The sequence below is a fragment of the Homo sapiens genome, chromosome 6 (genome assembly GCF_000001405.40).
Source record: "Homo sapiens chromosome 6, GRCh38.p14 Primary Assembly".
Classification (NCBI taxonomy): Eukaryota; Metazoa; Chordata; class Mammalia; order Primates; family Hominidae; genus Homo; species Homo sapiens.
Genome location: NC_000006.12, coordinates 66345678 through 66359740, shown reverse-complemented (window position 1 = coordinate 66359740; position 14063 = coordinate 66345678). Strand labels below are relative to the sequence as shown.

Genomic DNA, 14063 nt, shown 5'->3' with positions numbered 1-14063 from the left:
CACACACACACACACACACACATATATAAATTCTAACTAGTCAAATACGTCATTTAATGAAAACAACAAATTTGGTAACACAGTTAGAAATATCTATTTAATTTCTCCAAGTTCCTTACTTGGATGCTGAGATCAGCTCAGTCAGGGAGACCCTAACCCAGTGGCGCTAGAGGAATTAAAGACACACACACAGAAATATAGCAGTGTGGAGTGGGAAATCAGGGGTCTCACAGCCTCATATATATGTGTGTGTGTGTGTGTGTGTGTGTGTGTATTTGCATACTTACACATGCACACACACACATATACACACACACATAGCCTAATCTGGTGTGTATGACAATACACTAGAAGGAGCTGAGATTTAGTGATTAAAATAAATTGAGTTTAAATCACTACTCTATCACATACTAACATAAATGTTGAAGGTAGTTCTATTTTCCCTTGTGTGAAAGAGAAATACAATTATAGGGTTAATAGGTTTGTTGTGAAGGACAAATGAGAGAATATATTCAAATATCTTATGTGCCTTAATACTACCTGGCACACGATCATTTCCAAATCATTTTTGTTATTTTCTCCATTCCTTTAACAATCAACAATACAGTATATCACTTGATATAGTTTGGATGTGTGACCCCACCCAAATCTCATGTCAAATTTTAACCCTCAATGTGAGAGGAGGACCTGGTGGGAGGTGATTGGATCATGACAGTGGACTTCCCCCTTGCTGCTCTCATAATAGTGGGTGAGTTTTCAGGAGATCTGATTGTTTAAAAGTGGATAGCACCTCCCCCTTTTCTCTCTTCCTCCTTATCCAGCCATGTAAAATGTGCCTGCTTCCCCTTCACCTTATGCCATGATTGTAAGTTTCCTGAGGCCTCCCCTATGGAACTGTCAGCCAATTAATGCTCTGTTCTTTATAAATTACCCAGTTTCAGGTATTTCTTTATAGCAGTGTGAGAACTAACTAATACATCACCCTTCAATAACATAAAAATGCAATTTTTAAAAATCAGCTTTTTGAAAAATTTTTAAAGAAACTTACGCAAACATTTTCCAGCCTATGACAGTTTATCTCTTTCACCATTAAGCATTTGGTTATGTTAGCAGTAATCCTGCCTGTTTTCAATCTCCACTGTCTCCATCATGTATAGACATGAAAGATATTATTTCCTATAAGCAAACTCAAAAGAGGGAAAAGGTGAAAACAGCCTGTCATTATTGGGAACATAGGAATCTAGAAGTGATAATTAACAAATATTATGGTCCAAACATACATATGTATTTCTAAAGATATGTGCTAACAAGAAATCTTGTATAGAATGCATTGAATTCAACCTCATGTTACAATCAGTTCTTCAAAACTATTGCTTTTATAAATACTTAGATTATCATTGTCAGCACCTCAAAAATTCAAAACATTTTCACATATTAAAATCTCTGTTACTTATTACAACGTCCTTTGAATAATATAATCGTTTTTCTTATAAGGAAAAAAATTGGTGCATCAGAGCTTCAGGGGTGCAAATAGCTAAGAACGTAAGAACTAAAGTATCTTTTCTTTCACTGTTTGCCTTGATATTTATTTTAAGAATTCAGGTTTCAAATGTATAATTGATCTCTACTTCTTTTCACATAGCCAATTTTGATTTGTACAAAGAGCCCATTCAAATTCTACATATACATACTGACATCAATTGCTAATGGATATTCTCTGCATATCCTTGGCACAATGACAATTTAATTTTCACAGAGGCAAGCACATACCTAAGCTTGTCATACAAACATCCAGGCTTCTCATCAACTGGTTCTTTGGGGTTGGGACACATTAGGGAAACAACATTTTATCTTGCATACCATATGCTGTCTCTTACAGAAATATGACAGCATCATTTCTTAAACTCAAAAGCCAGGTCAAGGTCCCAAAATATCATCTGGCTCTACATTACCTTTAGTAAATGTTTTCCTTTTAACTGTAGAACCTTAAATGATTAATCAATCTTCAAGTGATTACATTGGAATGCTGTCACCTGATACAGATGATAAGTCATCGTCATAGCTGAATGACAGAAAGGGGAGATTGCATTCAGAACATTTCCACTTGGGATATAAATATTTATCTGAGCTTCATCCTTGGCCCCAAAGGGCCTTTGCCTCTATTCTGTTTTTATGTTTATTTTGGTAACAATACAACACAATGCACTTAAATGATACAGTTAAAGGGTATGGATTCTTCTAAATAGTTTAAATATCATTCTCATGCATATTGGAGTAAAATTTTAAATCTGAAATACCCTGAATCTCCTGAGACAAATCCAAATTTGCATGAAAGTTCAGATGTCAGGCTTCTTCTAACTCAGATAAAAGTGTTTCTACTAGGAAAGTTGTAGCAGCAGATAGAATTGTTTCCAAGACACAGGCATCTTGAAAAATATATTTGGATGTGAAATCAAAACCTTGTCTTTTGACCAAGAATTTATTTTCTAGATTTATTTTACTCCTCTTTATGTTTTTAGATCACTTAAAAAATGATGTCAGAAGTAACCTTAGTGACAGTTCATGTTGTTTTTCACCACAAAAGCAAATATTTTGAGCATCATAATTTTCCAGAATATGACAGAAAAAAAGCTGTTTTTTATGAAATTTTTTTGAAGAAGAAAACAAATTATTTTCCAAACAAAAAACTTAAAACTTTGTGTAACCTTTTATTTCTTTTTAAAACTTGAATGTAGAAATGTTGAGGGGTTACGGCCAGGCGCGGTGGCTCAAGCCTGTAATCCCAGCACTTTGGGAGGCTGAGGCGGGCGGATCACGAGGTCAGGAGATCGAGAACATCCTGGCTAACATGGTGAAACCCCGTCTCTACTAAAAATACAAAAAATTAGCTGGGCACGGTGGCGGGCGCCTGTAGTACCAGCTACTCAGAAGGCTGAGGCAGGAGAATGGTGTGAACCTGGGAGGCGAAATTTGCAGTAAGCTGAGATCACGCCACTGCACTCCAGCCTGGGCGATAGAGCAAGACTCCATCTCAAAAAAGAAAAAAAAAAAAAAAGAAATGTTGGGGGGTTACAAATGATGTTGGCATCAATACAATTCTGAGTTTAATGTACATATTCTATATCAGAATACTCAGAAATACAAATTTCAGTTCATTTGGCATTGATTTGTGAAGTATTTAGGGATTCTAATTATAATTTTCATTTGATCAGTTGATGGTTGAGATAACAGGTTGACACTTTTATTTAAAAAAGTTTACAAGTAACCTTTGTGGGAATATATCTCTGGACGAGTCTTACTCCAACATTGAGACATGTCTCAGGATGGCTATTATTCATGCTCCCCTGGGTATCAAGCCCTGCAGTATGCCAGTCACTGCAGTGCACCAGTTGATGCAGCTATGAAATTGCAAACAAATGATGTTTCTGCCCTCCTAGAGTTTGCATTCTGTTGGAGGTGAGGAGTAGATAATTTAAAAATAAAATAAATATATATTTTGTGACATAATTCTAAGTGCTATTGAGTAAAATGAGCTAACAAGACGTGAAGTCTCATGTCAGATTTCTAATTTATGTAGGGTGATGTGGGAGATGATACTGATAAAGATGGCAATTAGAGAGAGATAATGAATTAAGAGTGAGCCTTGTGATAACTGGAGGGAGCACCCACTAGGCGAAAGAATTCCTCTAAGAAAGAGCCAGGAGGCCAGCTGTAGCTTGAAGAAAAAGAACAGAGATGAGAGAGGTAGAAAATGAGGTCAGAGAAATAGCCAGGGTCCAGACAATATTAGGTCTTGTGCTCTGTTGTAAGGCCATAGGCCTATGGTGACAGAAATGATACTGTATGCCATTAAACATCCTAGTGTGGAATTTACTGCAGGTCCAAAATGACAACAAAAATGATCATTGTAAGCAAAGATTCAGGCTAGCTTTAGGGGAACATTATTAAATTCTTTTAATCCTTGATGTGAGAACAGCCTTCTTACTTTGGTGGATGTGGAGTGGCCAGTATTAATACAGGCCTGCTGTGTGCTACAGCAGTAGGAGTGTGAGCACTTAGCAGCAAGCATTACAGAGGACGTGGGAGGGCAGCAGGTAAAAGTAGGAGGTGTCTCTGCCAGAGTAAGGAAGAATAAAGAATCTCAGAGATTTACTGAACTACTGAACTGGGATCTAGAGACAAAGAACATGTTCTTTTTTTTTATATATATACTTTAAGTTTTAGGGTACATGAGCACAACATGCAGGTTAGTTACATATGTATACATGTGCCATGTTGGTGTGCTGCACCCATCAACTCGTCAACCCATTTAACGTTAGGTATATCTCCAAATGCTATCCCTTCCCACCCCCCAACAACAGGCCTTGGTGTGTGATGTTCCCCTTCCTGTGTCCATGTGTTCTCATTGTTCAATTCCCATCTATGAGTGAGAAAAGGCTTGGGCTGTACCTTCACAAGTAGCATGATAAAGGACAACAGAATCTCATTTATTTCATCACTATTGCAAATATCATTCAATTTTACTTTTCTATTAGCTTTGTCCTGGACAGAAAAATATTTAACTCCAAGTGGTAATTTTTCATGAATAGCTCACCTTAATATGAAAGTGAATTATAGCTATGGCTTGGGAAGAAGGCAAAAATGTTTTTCCTAGAAATAATGTCCCATCACACAGGAAAAACATGCTAATATAGACAACAGCAATGTCAGAAGGCATAATGTTCTTTGACTGTTAACGGGCTCCTTCCTACCTGACCTATTCACTGAGAATTATCTTCTCAGTTTCTGTGATAATGGCCTGTCCCATATCCTTTTTTACATCACTATTTTTCATGTCCACCTATTCAGTTCCTATTTATGATTTCTGTTGTAATTTTTAGTGTGATTCCTGCTGCTAGATGTTTTGTCATAGGCTGCCTATTCCTTCCAGGGATGTGCCAGATTTTATCCAGGAAATCTCATTAAAGATGTCAATAATGACAATTTGGTAGTTTTCCAAACTGAATTAAGAATATTTATTGATTAATATTCTCTTCTACATCTAGGTCCAATTCAGTAAGTTGAATTTAAGAAAGAAGCATGGAAGAGAATTTTGTGGCCAATATTATGACAAATGTCTTTTATAAATGGTTCATTCAAAATCCTGCACATTTTCTGCTATAACATTTTCTAATGTCATCAAGGCCTATCAACTACCTCTGTGGATAAATAAAGTTCAAAATTATCATTATATTATTTTTTACAAAACAATATTACATACCATTTCTGACTTCAATAAGATATTCTAGAAAATATTTACATTCCTCCCCTTCACATTTCTTTCTTATCATTTACTAAGGTCAACACAAACATGATAGAAATAAGCCTTAGTTGATAAAAACTTTCAAACATTTATTTTATCCATTTATTTATATTAAAGCAGAATAAGGACTGACGTCTTTTGAAGTTGGGAGGGTAAAACTTAACTGTTGTAAAAGTATTGCTATTGTACACTAGAATCATATAAGTCTACCACCTTTGACCTACATAAACTGTAATTTCATGCAATTAAACCAACATAGAATAAAATGATGTAATAATATCAGTCTTATGCTTTTCAGTCTGGAATCCTATTTAGGATAGTAAAATGATTTCATTAAGTACTAATCCATAAATTTTTATGCACGTTTTATAGTCAGAACTATCTTTCAAAGGAATCTTACCTCCAAGACCTATAAATATATGTAACAGGTAAATGTACACCTGCTGCAGTTCTCACAAAGGAGAAATCCTAGAGCCCTAACTTCCAGAATTTTCTCTTTCTCTCTACTTAGTAATCATAGAAATGATTGAGGAAAGGTAACTTGAAATAATTTCTCTAGTACTTTAAACTCATTTTACAAATAATAAGTGAGATTCCAAGGGACTCACTTGGAATCTGGTCTGGTCTAAATCTGTTTTAAAACTGACTAGACCAGATTTAGATATCAATGGCTGACTAATAAATAAAATATAAGCTAGCTGGGCATGGTGGCTCACACCTGTAATCCCAGCACTTTGGGAGGCCGAGGTGGGTGGATCAACTGTGGTCAGGAGTTTGAGACTGGGCTGGCCAACATGGCAAAACCCCATCTCTACTAAAGATAGGAAAAATTAGCCAGGCATGTAATCCCGGCTACTCAGGAGGCTGAGACAGGAGAATCACTTGAACCCAGGAGGTGGAGGTTGCACTGAGCCGAGATGGTGCCACTGCACTCCAGCCTGGGCCACAGACCGAGACTGTGCCTCAGAAAAGAAAAATATATGTATGTATATATACACACATAACACTTATAATTTATACACTAAATGCCTCAAAAGTGTGTGTCTCACAGACATTCAGGTTTTTTCTCTGTTATCTATAAATTTACATATCAGAATGCCAAAATATAAAAACACCCTTGAAAGACCATGCAGCCAGTAATGATTTGCATAGTTTATTCTCTTGTTGCTATTTTTCATAGTGTCTGAGTACACCACCTGCTTATTTTTATTAATTTTTTTAACTTGGCAGTGATGAGTTGATGGTTTGGAAATATGTGTTATGAATGTTATTTCATGGTAAAGTATAGTTAATCCTTGCAGAATTGTGTCACCAAAACTTTTTGAGAAATAATTGGTTTACAGCACTAGAAATTATTGTTCAAGCCTTGGAATCTTGAGATCAATTAGATTAGAAAAAGGCATCAATATATTTTCCAATTAATTCCCTCAGAAGTGCACAGTTTAAAAGAGAGCATGGGTATCATTTAAACTCAATCTGGGCATTGTATCAATTAACTTGGAAGACAGAATTATAATATAACTCTAAAGAAGTTTAAAAAATATTGACTTGGCTTCTAATCAAAGAGGCTATGCTCTAAACTCTTAAATATACATAGTTTACTATATTAATATTCTGCTTGTATTAAAACAAAATCTCAAAATTTTGCCAGGTCTCTGGAGAGCTAACAAGCCAAAAACCTGTGAGTCGTCCACATTATTTTCTCTCCTTCATTTCAAGCCCCTCTCTCTTTTCAGGTAGTTTGTGTGATCTAGACTTTGTGTAAAGTAGTAGAATACATGTCCAAGCCACATTCTCAAACTCATGTTCACTGCAATAAATCTGATTCCTATATTATTTCTATGCTGAATTTAAATAACTTTAAAGTTATGAGACAATATGAGGGAAGAGAGAATACAATACAGAATTCCAAATATCATAAATGTTTTGTCTTGTAATTTGGTATATGACATCTATTTATCCCTCTCATATATCAACTACATAGGAAATACTCTCTGTGAATTTCCCTAATAATATTTTGCCTTGCACAAGTGAATTCTACACATATTTGCATAATAATTAAACATTTACTAGGAAATATGCTACAAATACTTTAAGAACCTGGTGCTTTTTTTTTTTTAGCATTTTTCTGTCTAAACAATGTTTTGCACATGGAAATCAAAGAAACAATCATCTAGAAAATGTTTGTGGTCACCCAAGCAAACATTATTTATGAAGAGATTCAAATTTAAGCACCTTTTGTTTGAAATCATTATCTGTGCACTGCACAGTCCTCTGAAAACAGTGACATCCTCTGTAGCTGTCCCTTTGTGACCAACTCCCTCCAAAGCTTTTGTTGCAGTGGCCTCCACAGGGTTTGGTACTAGGGTCCTCTCACCTGACAGGCCATCATCCTGTTTGTCAGGACACCTTTATGGCTTTACTCCTACTACTTCTGCTTGCCCCAGGAAAAACCCAAAGGCTATCTATTCATCTGCTGCCTTCTCTTTTTGCTTTGCTTTTGGCTCCAGCCAGTCTCCAGCATTACAGAGGAAAGGCAGGCATCAGCTGCCCCCTACACACCAGGTCAGTGTTTCTCAAATTCTACATGGAGGAAATAACCATATTTTTTCTCTTTTATTAAATTTCAAGGATCACAAACCATATTTATGTAAAATGCGATGAAAATAAATTACTAGAAAAATGAAAGGAAACATAAAAAAGTATCAATATAATCCTTAGTCTTTAATATAATTAGACACAACAGACATTCTCAAATTGCCAATGTTTATATTCAACGTCTCTACTATTTAAGCAGTTCAGGGACCACCTTTTGGGTAGCACTGCTCTAGGAGGCAAATGTCAGGTCCTCCTGTGAACCCTTTGAATATACTACAGTGGGCTGATAGAACTCTGCAGAGTAGAAAGCATCAAACCTAGAGGTGAGATGACAATGACCCTTTTTTTGTCCTCATTCTCTATGGGTGCTTCTCATCCCCAGTCCCTACTTCATGAAAGCATATCCCACTTAGTGGAAAGCTCTGTATTTTGATGACCCTAATTCTCTTTTTGAAGTCCTGGTCTTTTGTGAGTTGGAAGTGGGTGATGCGGGGTAGTGCAACCATCATTTAGAAAATTTGGCATGTGTTGTTCTAGCAGCTTTTAATAAAGTGATGTTTCTTATCAATTTTCTTCAATTTGGAGCTTCTACAAAAGTCACAAAACTAAAATCGCATTCACTGTCCTATTACATTAGTATAAAATTAAAACACTTTAAAAAGCCCTCTTATCTCTCCCCTCAATATATGTTTAGCTAATCTAAAAATTTAGTTAGTTAAATACATTTTTTAAAGAAGAAAATCATAAGCAATTAATAGATACCTGAAACTTTACTTAAATTTGAAACACATGTGTACATTCTTTCATTCTTTTGACATATGGTCAAGACCATTCCTTTGATTATATGTCCACTGAGTGTTATTTCCTACCTTCATTTTTCCATGACATTCAACCCTATCATTTATCTAAAACATCCAATTACTATAAGAATCACAAGGTTTGGAAAGTAGATTGATTTTCAGGTTAAAACTCCACCAGTAGAAGCGGGCATATACTGGCATCTAAAGAAAGGTCTACTTGTGAAATGTTTTTATATCAGTGTTCTCTGAGTATCATAAATTTATTTAATATTGTTCTCATGAGATCTGATGATTTTATAAGGGGCTTTCCCCCCTTTGATCAGCACTTATCCTGCCTGCCGTCCTGTGAAGAAGGTGCCTTTTTTCCCCTTTGCCTTCTGCCGTGATTGTAAGTTTCCTGAGGCCTTCCCAGCCATGTGGCATTGAGTCAATTAAACCTTTTTTCTTTACAAATTATCCAGCCTTGGGTATGTCTTCATAGCATCATGAGAACAAACTAATACAGTAGTGCATCTTGGAAGGGACTCTTTTCCAGCCGCCACCTTAGCTGTGCCTTCAAAGTCTATTCAATTGCTATATTAGGCTGGCAACTTCTGGGTTGTAAATGTCATGGTTATGAGCCCATTGCTCCATCTTCGTTGATAGATATAATCCCTTATCCTGAAATATTGTGATATAGTGTATTTGTCAGGAGTTCAAATACTGTATTCCTTGGATTAGTAGTGCTGGCTGAGAAGACACACCCATAACCACAATGCATGCAAATTCCAGTCAAGATGAATATCCACATCTTCCATGGTAGAAGTGGTTTAATATAATAAACTTTCCACCAACTACTGGATGTCTTCCAAAAAATGATACCTGATCAAGGACTCAGTGTTGGTCTCTATTACTGACACTGGTACATTCAGCAACTACAGTAGTTAGGCCATGGTGAATAGACTACTTAATGGCCTGCCCCTGCCTAGCCTTCCTCTGAGCCTACGTGACTCCTTTGTTCATGCTCACCGTACCTGAATGGAGATGGCTGATGAAAATGGCTAATGTCAAAAAATAAAAGAACAAAAATATTTTTAAAAAGTATGGGCCAGGCGCGGTGGGTTGTGCCTCTAATCTCAGCACTTTGGGAGGTTGAGGCAGGCAGATCACCTGAGGTCAGGGGTTCAAGACCAGCGTGACTAACATGGTGAAACCCCATCTCTACTAAGATTACAAAAATTAGTTGGGTGTGTCGGCACATGCCTGTAATCCCAGCTACTCAGGAGGCTGAGGCAGGACAGTCACTTGAACCTGGGAGACGGAGGTTTCAGTGAGCTGAGATCATATCACTGCACTCCAGCCTGGGCAACACAGTGAGACTTCATCTCAAAAAAATAAAATAAAATAGGTATTACTACTTGATTGTCTGATGCCTTATGCAGGGTGGATGATCTTTGATAAATATTAACATGCAGTACAGGATCTTCACACCTTATGCTTACTCCCGTAGCTACATTTACAAGCTTCTTCCCCAGACCTCAAATCTTTCTTTTTTTATGGCCTCTAACCAGCTCGCCGAATTGTTTGCCATCCCTCATGAATCTATATGTATTTTTAACTAGGCCACTTCCCTTTCCACACACAGTAGATGATCATGTGCAACTGTTGAAGTCTGGCCCAAGAAGAGGGTTTTCTTTAACTGCAGAGCAAACCTAAAGTAGGGCTACAGTTTAATTAAAGTCAGTTTTTAGCCTTTATACACATAAGTATCTGACTCATTTGAGAATCAAGCCTATCAGTTTATTTCTTCTGTCAACTGGACATAAGAGACCCATCCATCTGATCATATGTATGAACTGAAAGAGAGGCATCAATGCAAAAGTGGTGATGTGGTGGTTAGGTGTTTTGTGTGTGTGTGTGTGTGTGTGTGTGTGTGTGTGTGTGTGTGTTTTCTGGTGGAATCTCACTCTGTCGCCCAGGCTGGAGTGCAGTGGTACAATCACGGCTCACTGCAACCTCTGCCTCCATGGTTCTAGTGATTCTCCTGCCTCAGCCTCCCGAGAAGCTGGGACTACAGGTGCTCACCACCACACCCAACTAATTTTTTTGTATTTTTAGTAGAGACCGGGTTTCACCGTGTTAGCCAGGATGGTCTTGATCTCCTGACCTTGTGATCTGCCCAATTCAGCCTTCCAAAGTGTTGGGATTACAGGCATGAGCCGCTGCACCCAGTCAGTGGTTAGGGTTTTAACCTACACAGCTTATATGTGTTATTTGTCCTGAATTATGCTTGATCTCATAGATATATGCATCTTCCAATAGATTTATGTGAACCCACTCAACTTCCTAAATTCACGCATATTAGGCAGTTCGGTCTATGTGGCTATAATATAACCTATGGTGAGATGCTCCATCCTACCAGGATCCAGTAGCTTGCCAAAAAGCCTTTTATGAATATTATATAGTTCCCAACAGATACTTTTAATACAGTAATTTTCAAACTTTTTAACCTAGAAGCTCTTCACCATCTTAAAAACCTTCAAGAACACAAAAGAGTTTGTGTTTAAGTGGATGATATAGTTATAGGCATATACCTATAGATGTAGATATAGGTATGTTCCTTGTATTAGAAATTAAAATTAAGAAATTTAAAAAATATTTATTAGATAATTAAAATAATGATAGCAAAGTTATTACATGTTACCACAAATAATGGGTTCATGAAAAATAATTATACTTCCCAAAAGAACTTAATGATATGAGGGCCATTGTTTCACATTTTTGCAAATATTTTTTATCCAGCTTATTAGATGAGAGTTGGATCCTTGTAACATCAGCTACTACATCAGTCTGTTGTTATATAATGTCTTGATTAAACTATATGAGAAATATCTAGTCTCAAAATATGTAGTTCAAAAAGGAAGAATATTTTAGTGGTCTCTTCATATAATTTTGGATATTCTGCTTTGATCCTATACCAAAATTCAAGCTGCAGTTTTTCAAAGCTGAGTTGCAATTTGGAGCATGGCACAATGTTAATGACATTCCATGCATGGTTCTATAATGTTATGCAATAAGCACTTAGAAAATAATAATACAATAAGTTATTTAATGAGATCTTTCAACTGTTGAGATATCCCGTTATACAATATCAAAAACTCACATTAATTCATAACAATTGATCTCACTGGAAATTTTTTGAACTGTTAGGAAACTATCAAGTTCACAGTTTCAGATACAAATTTCACAAAACTCTAATTTTCATTTGAACTCTCAATTGTTATCATGATTGGTAATAAGTAATGCTAAGTAATTCTTTCAGGTATGAAAAATGTCACGATAAAATTAAGTAGTTCAAATGACTGCAAAGTAATTACAATATTTTGTACATAGTTAAACAGGTTATAAGAAAGAGTTCCAATATAGGCAACTATATTTTAATACTCTTATTGCATTATATAGTTTAAAAAAATCAAGAAATATAAGCAGTTGATATAAATACATTTAGCTCTATAACATACAAATTCTGAATAAACATGTAAAGTAGTTGAATTCACAAATAACTAAACAATACTTGTAAATGTCCATCTACAGACACACATACATACACACACATAACATGAATATGGAAGATGCACATATTTGTGTTAATTTTGAGATTTGGGACTTTTTGAGGAATTTAAAAACCAAAAAATTTTCTAAAGCAAGTTCAAAACTTGTGTCAAACTATTCAATTTGATCCATTGATTTTTTTGAATAAGCCTATTTATTAAAATTTGACACTGTTATATTTGTTCAATATTAACATGAGAGAATATTATACAGTCTTTGGAAACATTATTTTTCAATAGGTAAATTGTTCACTGTATTTGTGCATATGTGTGGAAAATAAAGCACCTTATCAAATATCATCTCCTCAGAGAAATCCTCTGATATACGTAACAGTCATCCATAATCAGCCTTTGATGTTTCTTTAGTCAAAATGTGTTTCTCACCCATTGAAACTTAGATGAAATATCAAAATATTTTCCTCACTCAATGAAATTTAGTTTCTATGAAAAAATATGTTATATATTTTCTACCCTGTTTACCAAGCAGACATACAGAACCTGGCACATTGTGGCCATTCAACAGGTAATTGTCATATTTATGAGTAACTGAAAATTAACAGGATATAAGGAAGGGATAAACTTTTATTGTGCTATCATTTTCTGAGGTTTTTTTTGGGCAAATTATTCTTCAAGACAATCTTTCCTATTGTAATCACAAAATTACATGTTTGAGTAAGAATAATCTGGAAAAGACATCCAGTACCTAAGGTTTTGTTTTCTTCTGTTTTACCTTTTCAGTTACTGTCAAATTGAAAACTATTCTAGCACTTAATGTAAGGGCTATTTGATAATACAGTGATTCCATATTCAAAACAGGCAATTAAAGTATTTTGGTGTTTACTCAATTTCTACTGTGTCTTCATTATTGCTTTTGTTTATTTTTTTATAGCAGACAATTCCTGTACCATGAGGACAAGATCCTCTATAGCTCTGGAATTGCCCTTCTGAGTACGCTTTCCAGAATGTGAATTTATTATTGATTGATAAGGCTGTGCTAGCGCATTTTTATGACCTAAAGCACTGTTCTTTTTTACTGTGCTTTACTCTATGGTAGTTTTACTGAAAAAATCCCAGATGGCACTGAGGCCCATTGTTAATTATCAAAAACTCTGACACATAAAGGATGAAACTTCACACAAATTGACAAGCATTCTTGTTTTAATCGTCTGGTCAAGTGGAAAAATGTTCAGATTCATTTGTTACTTTGCTGTAATCATTACTTTTTAATCACAAGATTATTTTTTAGTTATCACGAACACAAAATTCTGCCCTTAATTGTGTCTTCAATGTCCAGAGTAAACAAAAGAATGTCTCAAGTTTATATGGCCATCTGCTATTCTGGCATTCAAGTTTTGATCTGTTACATCCTTTAGAATCATGTTTCACTCTCCCTTACGTTCTATAGGAACTGTAACTGTCCCGTATGTGAAGCTGCATGAAGTGAGGGGAAGATCAACATACTAAAAGTGATCTGCCTCATTCCCTCCAGAATTTCCACGGTTTTATGAGCTTTGAGTTGTGTAGACAATGAAACATATTGAAGTTTGTATCAATTATAGTCAGTTGCCCTAGGGGAGGGTTTCTCACCCTCAGTCATGTTGGCATTTTTGTCCAGGTGATTCTTTTTTGTGGCATCTTGTCCTATGCATTGCAGGATGTTTAGAAGCATCTCTGACCTCTACAGACTAGAAGGACTAGCACTCACCCTCTCACGACAACCAGAAATGACTCTAGACATGGATTGCCAAATGTTCCATGAATGGCAAAATCCAT

At 35.8% G+C, this 14063-nt stretch overlaps 1 annotated feature.

Moving 5' to 3' along the window:
• Nucleotides 475-644: an enhancer, noted in NCBI's record as "experimental_94110 CRE fragment used in MPRA reporter constructs". NCBI's record gives its function as "activates a minimal promoter by MPRAs in K562 erythroleukemia cells, with activity observed for both the introgressed and non-introgressed 6:67069075 variant alleles {active_cell/tissue: K562}" and the evidence as "EXISTENCE:reporter gene assay evidence [ECO:0000049][PMID:34662402]".